At 41.8% G+C, this 19,444-nt stretch overlaps 1 protein-coding gene and 2 long non-coding RNA genes across 3 annotated transcripts in view, besides 2 other annotated features; 1 reads left to right on the top strand and 2 right to left on the bottom strand.

Annotated features, from left to right (window-relative positions):
* Positions 1-1,681: 1,681 nt before the first annotated feature.
* On the bottom strand, positions 1,682-8,401 carry LOC105378076 (uncharacterized). The gene is made up of 3 exons (XR_943165.2): positions 7,713-8,401; positions 6,184-6,394; positions 1,682-2,352 (listed from the first exon to the last, which is right to left on the bottom strand). It is a non-coding gene; the product is annotated as an uncharacterized LOC105378076 (long non-coding RNA).
* Positions 8,402-10,154: 1,753 nt separating this feature from the next.
* TMEM242-DT (TMEM242 divergent transcript) lies at positions 10,155-10,998 on the bottom strand. Its single transcript, NR_187268.1, has one exon. It is a non-coding gene; the product is annotated as a TMEM242 divergent transcript (long non-coding RNA).
* Positions 10,401-10,830: an enhancer, noted in NCBI's record as "active region_25330". NCBI's record gives its function as "activates an Ori minimal core promoter by ATAC-STARR-seq in GM12878 lymphoblastoid cells {active_cell/tissue: GM12878}" and the evidence as "EXISTENCE:reporter gene assay evidence [ECO:0000049][PMID:35858748]".
* Positions 11,011-11,350: an enhancer, noted in NCBI's record as "active region_25329". NCBI's record gives its function as "activates an Ori minimal core promoter by ATAC-STARR-seq in GM12878 lymphoblastoid cells {active_cell/tissue: GM12878}" and the evidence as "EXISTENCE:reporter gene assay evidence [ECO:0000049][PMID:35858748]".
* TMEM242 (transmembrane protein 242) overlaps positions 11,113-19,444 on the top strand; it is a 34,495-nt gene continuing 26,163 nt past the window's right edge. The window contains exons 1-3 of the mRNA NM_018452.6: positions 11,113-11,220; positions 11,827-11,927; positions 15,713-15,850. Of these exons, the coding sequence (NP_060922.2) occupies positions 11,133-11,220; positions 11,827-11,927; positions 15,713-15,850 (327 nt within the window). The 5' untranslated portion in view covers positions 11,113-11,132. The remainder of the gene's footprint in view (positions 11,221-11,826; positions 11,928-15,712; positions 15,851-19,444) is intronic.

Genomic DNA, 19,444 nt, shown 5'->3' with positions numbered 1-19,444 from the left:
GAAAAAAGAAAAAAGAAAAGACTTCTAGGGCAGAAGCATGATGGAGGCAAGTCTTCTTGTTTATGTCAGTAAAGTGTTGTGATCATCACATAGTGGATTTCTTCCCCTCTGTTTTGTATTTTAATGGGGTATAGCTAATGTATAGAAAAGTTGAAACTTTTATTAAGATTTCTTTTACAGCTGGAAACTTCACTGAATCCTCAATCATTCTAAACGTTTTTCCTTACTTATTATATGTCCAATTAATCTGCCAGAACCTCCAAGAGGGGGGTGTCCCCTGCAACTTTGATTGTTATCTGGCTTCCCATTATGGTTCTTTTGCCATATTTTTCATTATACTATATTAAGCTGGCATTCACTCATGAGCCTAATTAACGTAATTTTTCCCCTGAGAGATAAATCTACTCTTGCTCTGCTGACAAAAGAAAGTTTCAGAGACAGCGGAGCTGAGCTGGCCCATGTTGTGTGGCATAAGCCACCTTGCAAGTTCTAACCTGTCCCTCAGTGGAGGAATGTCTTCTACATCGCTTTGTACATATTAATACAAAAAAATGTATTTATGAACCTCTGTTGTAGAGGTATATTTGTTGACATACAAAGATGTTCATTTTTTGCTCAGAAAGTACCTAATTCCATTTTGGGGACATTTCAAATTTTTAAAAGTTCTCATGTGTAGAGACATGATCTACCCAATATAACTTCTCTCTGTGCCTCCTGAGAGAGGCATCAGCTTCCCAATTCTTCTCTCTCCAACCTAAATATATCTCCCTCAATGATTTCTTCTTAGATAAGCTGGCTAAGACTTCTCACCCTCCTTGTCACTCCCCTTCGCCTGCCTGCTCTTGGAGGACGCTTCCTCCACAGTGGCCCCCAGAACAGATGGGAATGAGTGGGAGAGACTTCTCCTAGGCAGACGCACAATGACCTCCACTGTTTCAGCATTATCGCCAACTAAATTGTCCATTTCTTTGTCTCAGGAAGTGCTTCAGGCCAAATCTCTCCCATCCTGCACTTGTGTATTTTCTGAAAATTTGATTTATTCCTGTTAAAGTTCATTTTATGTGTGATTGACTTTTGTTCTTGTCTAGCTAAGTAATTTTGAGACATTTCTGTCATTCATCTCATTCATTAAATAACCAAACCTTCTTGTTTTGTGCCTTACATAAAATTTAATAGCCTGCCTTCTAGCTCTAGGTCCAAGTTGCATATAAATACGTTGAAATGGCCAGGGCTGAGGAGAGACCTGTGGCGTGACCTCGGGTGTCTCCTTCCAGGTGATACATAAATCACTCTTCTTTAGGCATAGGTGGTCAATCAGCTTCAAACGTAACCAATCTTATTGATAAAGGGATGAAAGGAAGGACCTTGTCAAAGATCAGCTGGGGAAGAGTATTGTCCAGAGCTCCATGTGACCCATCTGTGATGTGGTCAGCTATGGGTGCAGCCACTACAACAGAGCAGCGCACACAGGAAAAAACCAGGACCTAGAATCAGATCTGACTCCTGGAGTGGAACACACAGTGGGCTGGGGCGAGGCTGGGGTTTCAGAGAGAATCGTTATGTTAGTAATATTAGGAAGTACCACCAGCCACTCAGCTCACGGTACCCTATGGGCTTTTGCTTCTAGACGATGTGAGTGGCACATGTGGTTATGAGAGTGGCATGTACTTCACAGGCTGCTGCGTGTGCAGGTGTGCAATGAGGTTAATGCATTAAATAAGACTATTTTACATGAGAGGGGTGTGTTTTCCCAATTCTAGCAAAGACACCATAAGGGCTTTCATGATATCCCCGTGAAAGACAGTGTGGGAGCCAGAGAAAGCAAGCCTGGATAGTACCTTGAAGGATGGCTGCGAGGGCGTTAGGAGAGGGAAGAGCAGACAGAGTGCCAGGAGAGAGGAAGTCATCAGGACATCATGTGTTGCAGATTGGGTGGACCATTGATAAATGTGGTTCCCACTAGGCAGAGCTGCTGGCCTATACATGGCTGTCTTTGGGTCTGGTGGTGACTCTGGTTCAACTCGCTTTGGCCAGGGTAAGTGGATGATGTGAGATGAAACACAGCCACCCCTGCAAATGGAACCACGCCTGGCCATTTTTCTGAGGAAATGACTAGCATTCAACACATCATCAAATTTCTCCAGTCCATGCTACTACCACAATCACAGCACAATGGGTACCTGGTTACTGTAAGAGAAACTGCGTGTCAGGTAGAATGCACTCTAAAATCAGGAGTCACAATAGACCCGCTGCTGAATCTGTAATTAGGAGAACTTGAGAGAAATACTTCTTGGATACAAGATGATCAGCTACATGACCCAAGGTCACTCTCATTTCCATAGTCATGCAACTCTGCAAAAGACAACCAAATAAGGATAAATATATAGCAGGGCTTGAAATAGTAAATCTAATTCTACTGTGTGCCAGTCTATTTTGGTCTCTCAACTATACCAATTCAGAATGTGCTTTGCGGACTGCGTTTTTCTTCCTAATTGATTGGAATGAAGTAGATTATTCATGAACATTTTGGCTTTTTCCCCTAGCAAATATCTCTCCTTCTCTCTTAGAATGTGAAGAAAAGCTCTAAATTTGACATGGGAAAGTGAGATATTATGTTTGGCTTAAGTAGAAGGAAAGCTTCAACCCCATCATGAAATCTGGTCTTTGCTATTTTGACCACTCTTCTGGTTCAGACAAATTGCAGAGTGGAGACATCACTAACTTTTAGATCTTACCATGAGCTGCAAGAGAGAGGGGGCATTGCTCTCTGTCCTCTAAAGGGAACAGTCTCATTTCTCCAAACTGAACTAGAAGCATAGAGTTTGGGAACTAGGAAGAATCCTAGTGACCAAGTAGTTCAGTATTTTCTCAGTCTATATTCTAAGATATATGAGCCCACAAGATGTTCCTAAACAAAGAGTTGTTGGTCAAATAAGTTACAGAATCAAAGCTTACCGTGCCCTCCTCTTGAAGACTCTGAGAGGCTCTGAAGCAAAGAATTCTGTGAGGTTTTGTTTTCCAAACTTCTTTGATCACAGAATCTGTTTTTTTGGTTTTTGGTCCAGGTAACACCTAACAGCTTCTGGAACTGGCATGCTGTGAAACATACTTGGACAAAGTGCAGATATATTCAATCCCTTCCTCACTTTACAGAGGAAGGAAATGAAGCCCATATTAAGAAACATGGTTGGGAGGCCAAGGCACGGATCACCTGAGGTCAAGAGTTTATGACCAGTCTGGCCAACATGGTGAAACCCCATCTCTACTAAAAATACAAAAATTACCCTGGTGTGGTGGCACGCACCTGTAATCCCAGCTACTTGGGAGGCTGAGACAGGAGAATTGCTTAAACCCAGGAGGCAGAGGTTGCAGTGAGCCGAGATCACGCCACTGCACTCCAGCCTGGGCAACAAAGAGCAAAACTCCATCTCAAAAAAAAGAAAAAAGAAACATGGAGACAATCCTTCCTCGTCACTGACAGAGCTGGAAACTAGACCCTGGCTTCCAGACAACTGACAAGTCCAGGCTCTTTCTATCACCTTGAAAGAGGCATTGTTAACAGCAGCTCTGATGTACCCCCTAGCACATGCTCACTGTCTGGAATTTGAGGTAGCATTTATTTATAGTGCACTCAGCAATGAATCCATCAAATGCTTTGACTGTTTTAAAAGGGCATTGGGCCCTGAACAGTTGACCTAAATAAAACACTATCATCTAAATGATACGTAATTTACTAGATAGTAAATATTTTATCAGGCTGTATAATCACATTCTAAGAGGTTATTACTTTTATAAGCAAGAGTAAATCAAAGGGGTGAAATCCCAATAAAGTGTTCCTAAAATATAAGTATACTACCCAATGGGAAGTAACTGTAGACAATTCTCTTGCAATGCAGAGAGGAATAGTTGGTGAGGACAAAATTATAAAAATGTGTCCAAGGGTCGTGTATATATTTTTCCAAAATAATGTAAATTCAAGTAGCTTGAGCATGCTTGCACCCCTCAGAAGCAATATTTATCTGCCCCATTCTCTGAATCCTAAAGGCACTTTGAATCTACACACATTTTCTCACTTCTTTAACCATACCATGGTTTCTGAGACTGCAGCGTTGGGTACTTTGGAAGCCTGTAAATTTTTTTTTTCTGACTTAATACACTTGAGATATGAGATATACTCCTAGCAGTTGGGATATTTTAAATTAGTTTCTAGCCTCTGAATACAAGGTTTCCAAAGCCAATATTAGCCCATGTGGTACTTTTGTGTGTGTGTGTGTGAACCAGAAAAGGTGCACCTTCCCCAGGGCTGCTGGATTCCAGCACCAGAGCGCAAGGCTTTGGTGAGCAAAATGCAGGCTGGATTCCTGACCTGACCTGTTCCATCCTGTTCCATGTCCCCCAAGATGGAGGCCCTCATGCAAATGAACAAGTTGCACAACTAAAGGCAAGATCCCTGTTTCTTTCCCTCCCTCTCCTTGAGCCCCCCACCCCTGTAAGGCTGAACTCCCATTCCTACCTGCAGACCCAGCCTTCATCTTGACCTGAATCAGCATGTACTTCTGGGCCTGAGCCTCTCAATTTGCCTTGCTGACTCAACATCAGAGTATGTCTGACTCTATTACAGTGATCCAAGTCTGATAACCGGGCTCCTGAACAATGGTCTCTTTTTCATTTCCTTGCTATTTTAGCTGGGTTTGTGTCTTGTGCAATTACCAGTTACCATCTCTAGGTCTTCAGTTCTGCCTAGGGGCTTCAACTCTGCTACCCATGGACAAATTTCTTGGTGACACTAGCCTTCCTGCCTAAAGTTCTGAACTCTCTCCCTGCCCTGGATTCCAGGATGCCCTGTTACCTACTTAAAAATCCTTCTACTTCATCTCACAACTAGGTCACCTGGACTGAAAAACTCTCTTGCCATCACCCCCTGGCATGAGCTTTGTCCCCCAGGGACATGTGCCTCTTGCTTTTGAGTTTTTTGTCTGGGCCTCAGTTGCTGAGCCCACTTGTAGGAACTAGTCCCTTCTCCACAGGCCCCCTCTGAATTCCAAGCCAGGACAGTCTGGGTTTGGTACATATGCAGACCAACCTCTTAAGCCCTCTATATCCACATTTACAGTAACAGTTGATATTCAGAGAAGTGACTTAAAGCACTGCATACTTTTTAAGCAAGAAGTAAACCATATTTTACTTATTAAGGCAGAAAGTAGAAGACCAAGAAAGAATATCAACTGCAAAGATTCAAGCAAAAAGATATTTTGATGAAATTTCTTAGAAAATTAAGGGTTATGGAACTATAAGCTCCAATGAGCCAAGGACTGTGCCTCATTACTTCGCTATAGTAAAACAGCGCTTAAGACCATAGAGGTGCTCAGTAAATACTTGCTGTGTCAATAAAAAATAAAGTCAATCGAAACACAGTATTTGGTCAGAAAAGGTCTTACTACTTTATGTGGTCACTCTTTCATCATACATGTGATAATACTTGTTTTTAAATCATTTTATAATTTATAGCCTTTAATATATCAGAATGGTATAGATTATTAACAATAAATACAATAAACATAAGATGTATTTAATGATGCAAGTGGTTGATATCACAGATTTTAATAGTAAATGGGAGTGTAACATATGTCCTTGTATATGAAATACTGGCAAAATGATAATGCATAGATGGAAATATATTTGGCTTTTGGGAATGCTAAGAGTCTTTTCTATAACTGGGACACACACAGGACTAAAAATAACAATGCTTTACATTGCCAGAATACTCAACAGTTTACAAAATGCTTGAACATCTGTGATCCTATTTGATCCTCACAAGAAGATAGAGAAACATAGTTAAAGGAAATTATATGCATCACTCTTTTATAAGATAATATCTAGTGGCTTATGAAATATAACAGCTCTTGAAAAGATTTCTAGTCTATCATTAATGATAACAATTCAACTGATAGCACAGAAAGAGATAGGAAAGATATACTCTACAATAAGAAAAATTGAATGGAGGAATATATAATGGCAACTCTCATTTACTGTGATAAAGACAGACATATTATTCAACCTGAGGCAGTTACAGAATATGATTCTAAAAGATTAGTAATGAGATACCGGAAATGAGTAATGAGACTCAAGCTTTGGACTCAAGCTAGTTTCAGCTCACTCAAGAGGAGTTATTACCATACTTACCATTTCTATTGATTGTACTAATGCCATTTCGAAGGAGCTGTAGCTCTGGGGATTCAGAGCAGATACTGGGAAGAATTCAAGAGGCTGAGAGCAGCAAACTGGAGGGTGCAGATACCACGTGGGCTCTCATGCCAGCCCAGAGCTTCTCCTTGTGACATAATGCATCTTGCTCTCATTCCCTTGCTTTCCAAGAATGTTATCGCTGGGTATCCTGCTGGAGAGTTTGATGAGTTACCCTGAAAACCTATATAATATTTCTATTTAAACCAAAATTCATCTTTTAAACAAGGCGATACATTTTTAAAGTATTTTATTGTTTTCCTTCCATTTTTTCCCTTCTCACAAAAGTAATACATGTCCCTTATTAAACATTTTGCAAACATTATAGAAATATGTAAAAATGTGGCTTTGGTCAGCATTTTACTTACTAAGGCAGAAAGTAGAAGAGATATAGATAGAACACTCACCTCCTCCCTCCTGTCAAAGTAACCTCTGTTAATAATTCAGTGTTGAGTCCAGATCTTTTCTTCTGTGCACACACTTAAGCTGGCAATAACTTTTAAAGATCTCTGATATATATATATATATATTGAGATACATATATATGTATCTCAAAAAAATTATATATATCTTTCAAAAAATTACATATCTATATGTATATATATGTTTTTTTTTTTTTTGAGATAGAGTCTTGCTCAGTCACCCAGGCTGGAGTGCAATGGCATGATCTCGGCTCACTGCAACCTCTGTCTCCCGGGTTCAAGCAATTCTCATGCCTCAGCCTCCTGAGTAGCTGGGATTACAGGTGCCTGCCACCACAGCCAGCTAATTTTTGTATTTTTAGTAGAGATGGGGTTTCACCATGTTGGTCAGGCTGGTCTCAAATTCCTGACCTCAGGTGATCTGCCTGCCTCAGCCTCCCAGAGTGCTGGGATTACAGGCATGAGCCACCACACATGGCCTATATTTTTGACAACTATCTTATATCAAGCAGCAGGAAGGATGATTTGACCCTTATCAGATTTTAAAAATAATTCAGCCTCATACATTAAACATGGAGAGATTGAAGCTCTGAAGAAATGTTTTAAAAAGTGACGGGGAAAAGAGTCCATCAGAGTTCAAAACAAGCTAGAGCTAGGGCCATCCAAATTCCAGGAACGGTAAAGCTAACAAGTTTCTAGCTGTCAACATTTGAAATAGAATCTACAGGAGCCAAAACGTTTGAAATAAGAATGTGGTCAAATGTGTCCCTGGTATGAACTTTCAGCTGACTAAAACAAATACCGAAATAGCAACAGCATCCGTCTCAGATAAACCTGCTTTCCCAGCAGCCTCCTTGGCTTGTAAGAGATTTCCATTACTTTTTCTAGAAGAGTACTGTGCTTCCATTGAAATATCAGTCCTGCTGGTGCTGCGTGAAGCAACAAAGCTCTGTGACTTTCTAATCTCTGGTTTCCACACTTGGAAATGCTTCCCTGCTCAAGTCCCCATCTTGCAAAGAAACTGTGCTTAGAATGTCTACAACTCACCTGTTTGGAGCTTGTGTCATATCTTCCTCTAGTAACAAGTCTAGGTGGAATTGTGGAATTCTTAGAGCAGTGCAATTAATCAAATTGTACCCAAAGTACCCAACTGGGTGTCCTGTAGAGATATGAGACCTTGGGAAACATTGTCTTTAAAAAATGCTTTCTTTCAGCATTCCAACTTGGGATGCCTGGAATTTGGTCTTATCCCAGGGCCAGGGACTTCCCGTCCCAGTGTGTGGCAGGCTTCTGAGGCTCTGGAAACACCATCTCCCAGGATCTGGCACCAAGCAAGTCACAGGGCAGGTGCTGGGGGCTAGTGAGAAATGGGGCTGTAGTAGTCTCCACAAACAGGCCTTGACCAAGGAGCTCGCACCTCCTCCTCTCCTTGGTATGTATCCCACAAAGATCCTCAAAATGCAAATTTTGAGGCTGAAGTGTAAACCATTGGTTTGTGTCAATTGCCTTTTCAGTCCTGTGTATATTGGGAAAACAAGCTTTCAAGTAGAAAAAAGGAAGATTGCCTTTTACTTTGGGGATTTAGAAAGAAGATAGAGGTTTGTGAGCTGCAACATCCAAAACAAAGCAGACACCAGTTTCCTAGGATGTGCAGTTACTTTCAATGGAGACCAGCTCTGGAATGCAGGACTCTGTAATTTCCCTAGATTACAAGATCTATTATCTCCCTTCTGTTCCTTATAGTAAGCAGTGATATAAACCTTAAATTATTATTATTATTATTATCATCATCATCATCATCATCTTGAGACGGAGTCTTGCTCTGTCACCCAGGCTGGAGTGCAGTGGCATGATCTTGGCTCACTGCAACCTCTGCCTCCTGGGTTGAAGCGATTCTCCTGCCTCAGCCTCCCAAGTAGCTGAAATTACAGGCGCCGCCACCACACCCAGCTAATTTTTATATTTTTAGTAGAGATGGGGTTTCGCCATGTTAGCCAGGCTGGTCTCAAACTCCTGACCTCAAGTGATCTGCCTGCCTCGACCTCCCAAAGCACTAGGATTACAGGTTTGAGCCACTGTGCCCAGCTTAATCCTTAAAATGTTTCTGTCGTTTTCTAAGGGGACAGCAAAGAAGAGAGTGGAGGAATCTGCACTTTTTCTCCCTAAGCAGTCTTGGGAAAACAGATTTCCAAGTGCTAAAGTGTATGGTGTGGATTTTAAGAGGTGTAATCCATAAGAGGAAGGCACACAGAAGATGTTCTCGAAGTGGAATCCGTGGCAACAGCATCACCTGGGAACTTAGACATACACGTTCTCAGCCCCCACTGAGTCACAGACTCTGGGAATGGGGCCCAGCAAGCTGAGTGCAATAAGCCTTCCAGGTGATTCCAATATTCAAGTTCACACTTGAGGACGACTGGCACAGTGGATAAGGAAGGACCTGCTTTTAAGCCCTGTCTCTGCCACTTAACAGCTGTGTGAGCTTGAGCAAGTTAGTCTTTCTGAGTTTATGGAGAGGAATAAATGAGATAATGTACTTGAAGCACTTAGTGCAATGTCAGATATATAGAAAGCACTCAATACATGTTAGCAGCTATGGTTACTGTTATGTATGAGGGGAAGGAAAAAGGATAGGTCCTTCAACAAATTAGCACAGCATTTACCAGCTTAAAAGCCCTTTCAGATACTGACGTGTTTCCAGGAAATCCAAAGGTCACATACATTCTGTGTGATCTCATCCACACAAAAATTTGAACAGAGCAGTAGTTTTTTATCATCAGAAACCCCACGGAGCTTTTACATTCTGCCCTGCCACCCGCGGGCCTTCAGAGCTCTAATCTCCCGTGGTAGATAGACCTTGATAATCCATCATTTTTAAAAATCCCCATAGGCAATGCTGCAAAATAGCTACTGGAATCAAAGGTGGTAATAGTTAGAGCTAACATGTATTGAATATTTATATGTGCCAGGCACTGTGCTAACTTCTTTATAGATGTTGCTTCATTTAATTCTCACAGTAATCCTATGAGTTAGGTACTATCAGTTTTTGTGTGTGGGGGGGGCGGGATGGGGTGGATGGCAGAGTTTCACTCTTGTCATCCAGGCTGGAGTGCAACGGCTCGATCTCGGCTCACTGCAACCTCTCCCTCCCAGGTTCAAGCCATTCTCCTGCCTCAGCCTCCCGAGTAGCTGGGATTACAGTCCCGCATCATTAGACTCCGCTAATTTTTGTATTTTTAGTAGAAACGGGGTTTCACCATGTTGGCCAGGCTGATCTCGAACTTCTGATCTCCACCTGCCTCAGCCTCCCAAAGTGCTGGGATTACAGGCGTGAACCACCGCGCCTGGCCTACTACCAGTTTTTAAATTTTACAGGTGAGGAAACTGAGCTATAGAGGGGCTAAGTTACCCCAAGTTCACACACCTGAGAAGCGGTTTAGGACCCGAGCCCAGGTTTGAGCTATTAACTGCACTTCACTGACGCAAAAATGGATGCATTCATTTACTCATTCATCCAACATGCATTTGATGTTGGTAACCAGTTAATATCTGAAAGCTGGGGGATATAAACTGAACATAGAGTCCCATCTCCATCCTCAGGAAACTCATGCCCTCCGGTGATGGGGGGCAGGACAAATAGCAGAGAGACCGCCTTATTTTACAAGATGTCATTGTTCTCTGAGAGGCTGAAAAGATTTTCTATCACCACTAGCCTCCTCCTCTCCACGGCCATTTACAGAATGGGCAAACCAGCCTCCCAGCGGAAGACCAAGCTTGCTAGCGGTCAACGTTGCCGGCAGCTCTGCAAGCGCTTCCAGCGGGCGTCGCTCTCCTTTCGGGGGTGGTACTTTCATTCGGTCATCCTGTGAGTGTTCCACTTCCCGACGGAGGCCGAGCACTCACACCGCGGCGGAGGTACCCGTCACCGCAGAACCGGGTGGCTGGCTCTCCTCCAGGGAGAAAGCCTGTCACTTATTCCTCAACACTGTTGGGAAGTTACCTAGAAAAGTACAGACAGAAGACCTAGGCTTGCGTTTTAGAATCGTGGAGTGTTAGCGCTGGCCAAATCGTTGGACACAATGTAAGCTTGATCAGGAAAATGAGCTCCAGGGTCTCACAGGCGGGGCCTGGAATCTTGGCGCAATCTGCGACCCTCACTGCCTCCTACAGTCGGGGCTGAGCGTTCTTTCAAACAGCCAAAGTAATCACTTAAGTCCAGCAATGATCTCCTTGGAGAAATCAAAAGATCCTCCCTAAGAGACGGCCTTGGAGGGCATCGCCCCTGGGGCTGGGCACAGCACGTCTTCCCGGCCCCGGCGCGGGAGGAGGGTTTGGGGACAGCGGCCGCACTCCGGACCCTTCTTCAGATTGCACAGGAGGAGGCGGTAGCGGAACCTTTCTCCTCCGCCTGGTTCTCGCTTCCACCCGGGCCCAGTTGGGGACGGACGCACTAGAGGCGACCTAAACATGGAGACAGCGGGCGCTGCAACTGGGCAGCCGGCCTCTGGGCTGGAGGCTCCGGGGTCCACGAATGACCGGCTTTTCCTGGTTAAAGGTAAGATGTGCTGTGGTGAGGTGCGGGCGTCGGGGTGAGTTAACCCCGGACCCTGGCTTGCTCTGGAGCGGGCATTCCCACACACATCCCGCTCTGAGAGCCCTTAGCTTGTGCTTGCCCCTGAGTTTAGCCCGCGGAGTCTGGCGGCCCAGGGAGGGTAGGTCGCTTACTGGGTGGAGTCTCCCCTTGGGCGGGGCGGGGGGCAGATCCCGCGAGCTATTCTCCCGGGCGTGCCATATTTCCCCGTCACCTCTGCAATTGTTCTAGAGCCTTGCCTTTTCTGATTGCCATCGTCTCTTCTCCTCCCCGTGAGAAACTTCACGCTGTGGTCCCAGGGGAGAGGGGAAGGGAAGCTGAACCTTTTCTCTGCGCTCGGGAATAATAATTCGGAATGACCCAAGGAACCAGAGGTCGTGCGGTCACGCGTGTTTCTCAGCCGCTGTCATTTACTGTTAGCAAGAGCTGCTTAGCCATGGTTTCTTGAATTTCAAAAGTGATTTTGATTGTAACTCGAATAGTATCTTAAACTTACTTTTGTACATCTTTTTAACCTCTTTTTATTTAATTTTTTTTAATATCCCCCCTCCTCCCCGAAACTCTTGGCAGGTGGAATTTTCCTTGGTACCGTTGCTGCAGCGGGAATGCTAGCTGGATTTATTACAACATTATCATTGGCTAAAAAGAAAAGCCCTGAATGGTTCAATAAGGTTGGTGACACTGAAATCCATTCATAGCATTGTTATTGTTTACAATATATGGCAGCTTTTGCGTAGAAAAAATAAAATATTGATGGTCTTTCACATTGCTTTAAGATGTGAATTTATATACGCTCATGGATTCTAGAAATGTACAAATTAACCAAGTCTTTATTTTCATTTAGAAGGATGTACTTATGTGCTTTCTTAAATTTTAGCGGAACAAGACTTTGAAAGCTTATCTGGTACATTTCCTATTCACAACATGACTTTGAATCTAAATTTGGGCCAGGCATCGTGGTTCATGCCTGTAATCCCAGCACTTTGGGAAGCCGAGAGGGGCAGATCACCTGAGGTCAGGAGTTTGAGACCAGCCTGGCCAACATGGCGAAAACCCATCTCTACTAAAAATACAAAAATGAGCCAGGTGTGGTGTGGCACTCCTGTAGTCCTAGCTACTCGGGAGGCTGAGGCAGGAGAATCACTTGAACCCAGGAGGCTGAGGTTGTAGTGAGCCCAGATAACACCACTGCACTTCAACCTGGGTGACAGAGCGAGACTCTGTCTCAAAAATAAATAAATAAATATTCACACAAATAACTGTGTAATTACAATTTGATGTGTGCTATGGAGGAAAAGTGTTACGTAAAACATCATAAAAAGTCAAGTTTCCTTTCCACTTACATTTATCTTTAATAATCATACTTAAGCCTTATCGATACCATAATGGCAAGAGACCATGTTTAAAGTGTGCTTGGATCCCCTCTGAATGCTCTAAGCTTATATGGAGCTTCCTAAATCACTGCTATGGACCTTGTGGGTCATTTTCTCTCTATGTTATAGAATGTTTTCAGAGCAGAAATATATTTTGTGGTGGAAATCAGAGTAGTGCCTTAACAGTAGAGTTTTGGTTGATTTCTAAGCCTAAGTTATGTTAATCCTTGGCTCACTGATCTTTTTAATAATCTGATGAAAACTAGGGATTCTCTGGGGCTGAAGAGCGCACGTACACATATCACAACTTTCCATCCTATTTTGTTATTCTGAGATTTGATCATCACAGATGCTCTTCGGGGTCTAACAGTGGTTTTCAAACTGCAGTCCACAGAACCCTGCTGATCCTTGATCCTTGGGTCCATGAAGTCAGAACTATTTTCATAATGATACTAAGATGCTTGTACTAATGGTACAGAGGCAATGGAGAGTAAAACTGCTGATACCTTGGTCTAAGGCAGTAGCACCAAACTGTGAAAGTCCTTGTGTCCTTCATTACAAAGTACCTGTATTTTTTAAAGCCAGTATTACTTAACAGTGTCCTTGTTGAAGAAATAAAATAGTTAATTTTATTAAATCATGACCTTCAAATAAACCTCATTTTAATATTCTGTGTAAAGAAATGGGAAATACAAGGCCGGGCGAGGTGGCTCACGCTTGTAATCCCAGCACTTAGGGAGGCCAAGGCGGGCGGATCATGAGGTCAGGAGACTGAGACCATCCTTGCTAACACGATGAAACCCCGTCTCTACTAAAAATACAAAAGAATTAACTGGGCGGGTGGCGGGTGCCTGTAGTCCCAGCTACTCGGGAGGCTGAGGCAGGAGAATGGCGTGAACCCGGGAGGCGGAGCTTGCAGTAAGCCGAGATTTCGCCACTGCACTCCAGCCTGGGTGACAGAGCGAGACTCCGTCTCAAAAAAAAAAAAAAGAAAAAAAAAAAAAGAAATGGGAAATAAATACATAAAGCATTTCTATTTTATACTGAAGTAGGATTTTTTCTCTAGAAAAGCAATTGAATTGCAAGCTGAACTAGCCACTTTTTTCCTATAGAATATCATTTTTACTTGAAAGAATATTTGGCAGACATCTTAACAATGAATAAAATGAGCTTGTCTTTTCAAGCAAACAATTGTCAGTATTTATTGCCACTGATAAAATTCAAGCTTTCAAGTGAAAATTAGATTTTAGAAAACTTTTATCCCAGCACTTTGGGAGGCTGAGGGAGGCGGATCACTTTAGGCCAGGAGTTTGAGACCAGCCTGGGCAACACGGTGAAACCCCATCTCTACTAAAAATACAAAAATTAGCTGGGCATGGTGGCATGCACCTGTAATCCCAGCTACTTGGGAGGCTGAGGCACAAGAATTGCTTGAACCTGGAAGGTGGAGGTTGCAGTGAGCTGAGATCACGCCACTACACTCCAGCCTGGGTGACAGAGCGAGACTCCATCTCAAAAAATATAAATAAATAAAAGACTAACAAAAATGTAAAACATTGTCTCTCTTTGCACAGTTTTGTTTTGGAAAAGTAATTTTTCATAAAAAATAGGCTTATATTAATCTAAAATGATTTACTATTTTTAAATGACTAATATAATTTAAGAATTTCATAGTTTTAATTTCTAATACATTAAATATTGATAAATACAACCCACTTAATTGAAAGTCTTTAGGGCCCAAGTGTAAAGGGATCCTGAGACCAGGTAGTTTGAGAACCCCTGTTTTAGATGGTTCTGTCTCCCTCTGGGAAAACACTGGAATTAGAGTATGACCACTTACCCAGACTCTGTTTCAGAGGTAAAATTGTTTGTAGAAGAACTCAGAGATTTTGGAGCACACAGTTAATGCGTTTATACTGAGCAAGCACCAGTCTAAGAATCTCACTTAGTCAGTGCACTTCACAGTTGCCACCTGGAGGTCTTTTCTAACATTGATAATATCTAATATTTGAGTGCTTAGCATGTGCTGGCTGTTCTTCTGCGGGCTTGACTCATTGAACTCTCCTCACACCCTATGCAGCACCGTTATGTGTGGTCCCCATTAAAGGGCAGGAAACTGAGGCACAGATGAATTAAGCAACTTGCCCAACATGGTACTCTTCCCATCTTGGGATACTTCTAGGGAAGAAATGATACAATTTTTAGTAATCTTGCTATTTAAACAGACTTCTATCCATTAGCCTGGGATTCTAGGTATTAAAACAGATTCAAATTGCAACCCCAGAGGACATTAAAATGATAAACTTTTCAGTTGGGGACTGCCTACACTGCTTTTATTTTGGGATGATAGTTATCCTTTTAATGTCCTGTTCTCATTTTCTTAGCTGTGTGTCATGCAAAACAACTGGGAGTTGAAAAGCAATAATAGATGCTGAATGGACATTCATTTTTCTTTGTAGTTCCCTGAATAAACAGAAAGAGGAAGGTGCAAGCTAAAAGTGGCGAAGTAATTTACTCTTGAGCTTCTTTGGTCGATCTATTAAAATAGATCAACATTTTTGTTAACTAGTCTATCCTGCATTTATACATCAGTCTCATAATCGGTAGACTAAATGAGGTGCTATGAGAGAAAATAACATGTATTATATGTCTATTTGGTTAAAATAACTGAAGAAAGTACATAATGTTTACACACATGCAAAGTTTACTTATCTGAAATATCTGGTGCCCTTGCTCATCTTAATATTATGGCAGGAAAAACATTCATAAAATAACTGAGTTATTTTAATACCACTTTAATGTCATTCTGTGAAAATGCCAATGAATGGGGGATAGAGAAATCTTGACAAAATGGTCTAGGATTTTTCTGGAAGAATTAACAGGCAAGGTGCCTTGCATACTCAAATATCTGTGAGTCAGAGAAGGCATGCAATTATTAAGTAGCAAAGCCAGAATTAGACCTTGGGTTGATTTAGCTTCCTAATATCATGTTGTTTGCACAGAGAGGAATTTGCAAACACCCCCAGAATGCTTATTCTTTCTGCACTGATTGTTTTTACCTCAACTTTTCTGTTTCATTTCAGGGAAGTATGGCCACGGCTGCATTACCGGAAAGCGGGTCTTCCCTTGCCTTGCGAGCTCTGGGCTGGGGCTCCCTGTATGCATGGTGTGGGGTTGGTGTGATTAGCTTCGCAGTCTGGAAAGCTTTAGGAGTTCACAGTGTAAGTAACTACTGTCTTGTCCCTGGTATCTACATGTTTATTCTGCTTACTGTGTTCTAAATTTTTCTGGTTTTCAAATTTATTTGCATGTAGTTTGGTCACTGTCTAGGGAGATGATGACAGAGTACGTGACTAAATTCTTACAAATAACTAGACAACTTCTTATTACTAATAAATACAATTTTTGAAGGTGGTAAAACTTCAAATATAATTAAGTAATGACTAATTTATAGCTAATGTTCTATATAAATTGACATTAGGGCGAGTGCAGTGGGTTATGCCTGTAATCCCAGCACCTTGGGAGCCTGCGGCAGGCAAATCACTTGAGCTCTGAAGTCCAAAACCAGCCTGGGCAATGTAAAGAAACCCTGTCTCTATAAAAAAATTAGCTGGGTGTGGTGGCATGCGCCTATAGTCCTAGCTACTCAGAAGGCTGAGGGAGGAGGATCACCTGAGCCTCACAGGCTGAGGCTGCAGTGTGCCAAGATCATTGCGCTTCAGCCTTGGCAGCGGGGTAAGACCCTGTCTCAAAAACAAAGTAGAATAAATAAACAAATTGACATTAGCGATTTGTTCAATAAAATTATTAATTTGGAACAACTTTCTATTGCTGTTTGACATATATATATAATCTTTGTAAAAGTTAAAGCATTTTAAAATTAATTATTTAAATTACTAATGTGTTATTTACACATTTTTGGAAAAAATCCTAAAATCTTGTGTGTCTGTGTCTGTGTTTGTGTATATATGTAAAATTTATACTTCAAGCTACAGAGCATTACATTAAGAATGACTGCCTTCTTTTTTTAAACAACTGGTTGGAAGTTCTGTGGACCGGACCCTTCGTGACTGGTGAGAATTGGCAGTAGTTTGAGATAGGTGGCAGCGGTAAAGTTGATGAAAACAGATGTCGATATATTTTGAAGGTCAAGTCAGCAAAGATTTGTTGTTGATTGGATGTGGGGTGTGAGAAAGAGTGAAGTTGGATGTCATCAAGACTTTTGGCCTGAGCAACTGAAGGATGGGTGGGGAGCAGTGTGAGAAAAGGAGGTATTGGGAGATAATGTCAGGAGCTCAATCTGACTTGTGAGGTTGACACATCCGTTTGATAGTGAGATGGAGAGCAAGTAAGCAGTTAGATATAGAAGTTGAGAGTTAGGGGAGAAGTACAAGGTGAAGATTTGAATTTGAGACTCATCAGTATATGGCTAGCATTTAAAGCTGTGAGACTAGATTAACTCACCAAGGCAGTGAAGGTTGAAAGAAAAGAGAAGAGGTCTGAGGAAGGAACTCTTGGGGACTCCTAATGTTAAGAGGTTGGGGAATGAGGGGAAAGTACCCTACTGAAGAGGGAAATCTCCTTGGCCTGGTGACTTGGACACCCGGTGAAGAAAACACTTCAAGGAGAAGTGACTGACTGTGTTGTATGCTGGTGATAAGTTACGTAAGATGAGGACTGATGATTCACCCGGTTTGGCAGTGTGACAGCCATTGGTGAAATGGTGGAGTGAAGCCTGAGTGATTCAAAAGAGAATAGAGGAGAATCAGAGGCAGTATATCTAGGTGAGTCTTGAGTTTTGCCACAAAGTGAAGGAAGGAAATGGGGTCATAGCTGGAAAAAAGAATGGGATCAAGAGATAAGTTTTTACTTGTTATATTTTACATTGGGAGAATTAACAGCATGTATATGCTGATGGGAATGATTCAGCAGGGAGGAAGAAACTGGGGCAAGTTGGCAGGGTTGCAGGAACAACCTCATAGACATTATTGAGCTTTTCATATTTAGTTTAATCGTAAACAAACATAAACATTACTGTGCTTTCCACTCAGAATACACTGATAGACAGATGATGGTGCTTTTCTCCTAGTCTAACCTTTGTTTTTAAAATTTATTTTTATTTTCGACTCTTTGGAGACAAGGTCTTCCTCTGTCACCCAGGATGGAGTGCAGTGGTGTGACCTCAGCTCACTGCAGCCTCCTGGGCTCGAGCAACCTTCCCACCTCAGCCTCCTGTGTAGCTGGGACCACAGATGCATGTCACTATGCCTGGCTCATTTTTTTTATTTTTTGTAGAGATGAGGTCTCATTATGTTGCCCAGGCTGGTTGCGAACTCCTGGACTCAAGCGATCTTCTGCCTCAGCCTCCCGAAGTGCTGGGATTAAAGGTGTGAGCCACTGCACCTGGCCCTCACCTTGATTTTTGAGTTAACTTTGCTGGCTAATCATTGTTTGTAATGCTAAATTAGAGATTGCTTGAAAAGACAGAAAACCTGTGACTGAAGATTTTTCATGATTTTTGCTGTTAACCTCAATTTTGCTTTCGACCAATATAAAATCTCTTCTTCCATTTTAGGCATTCTACAGACATTTTAGACATAGCAGATTATTTAATCTTCATAATAACTATCTAGCAGATATTAATATCCCCCATTTTATAAATGAGGAAATTGGGGCTCAAAGAGGTTAAATCACTTGCCCAAGATGACATAACATGTGATTGGCAGTGTCAAGATTTAAACCCAGGTCTGAATCTTCAGATTATTAAGTAGTACTTAGTAATAAAGTTATTAAGCTTCTAGTTTCTATAAAAATGACAGTCTGCTAGCACTTTACATGAACTGTGTGGAACTGATATGTGATGTTTCCAGTGTTTAGTAATGTGGGTCACAAACTTAGTAAAATTTTAAGGTATTTGAAAATACAAATAGTCTCACTTAGAAGAGTCAATCCCAGTTTTCATAAACCAACAAAATTAGGTTATCTAAATTATACACTTGATAATTCAGTGTTTATGGGCTAGAATAATCCAACTGTGCTAGAATAATCCAATTTTTTATTCATAATTATTATGGAATTTCATTTCACATAGAACACATACATTAAATACAAACATACATTTCTATTTCACACAGTGGTATATCATTTAATCAGAGGTTCCAAAGAAGGAGAGGTATTGGGAGCTATCTTGTTACCAAACAAAGCAGATACGTTTGCCCAGCACTGAAGATGGGTAGAATGTGAACTTCTTTGTTTTTTGGCATTGATACAAGGATTGCTGCCTAAATAAGATATTTTGGGGAGAAAAAATATTTTCTGGTTGGCACTACTGAATATAAGAATATGTGGAATCCTTTTATATTGCATCTTTATGTCATCCAGTGATAAGTAGGAAATATCTACTCAGCCTCTGCTGGGTACCTGGGATTGGGTTAGGTGCTGGGACCACAAAGAAAGAGAGTTCCTGACATCTTTATGTCTAAGTAAAAAGAGAGACTGCATATGCACTCTCTCTGCATATAGATCATTAGGCATATCAGTTTGATCTCCATGTTTGAGAAGGCCCACAGAAAAATGAACTCACTGATACCTTTTCAAGGTCATATCTTTTAAAGGCGGTAGTGTTTACTAATTTGCTGGTTTGTTCATTCTAAAGTCATTTGTGGGTCTCTCCTGAGCCAAGCACTGTGCTAAGACAGCGCTACCCTGTAAAGGGGTAAACCTTACCTGTTGACTTTCTAAGCAAATTCTTATGGTATGACCCTGCTCTGAGGCTTGCAGACAGCAATGTGGTATATTCAGCTCAACGTTTAGAG

This window comes from Homo sapiens, chromosome 6, assembly GCF_000001405.40.
Source record: "Homo sapiens chromosome 6, GRCh38.p14 Primary Assembly".
Classification (NCBI taxonomy): domain Eukaryota; kingdom Metazoa; phylum Chordata; class Mammalia; order Primates; family Hominidae; genus Homo; species Homo sapiens.
This window is presented reverse-complemented; position numbering and strand designations above follow the sequence as displayed.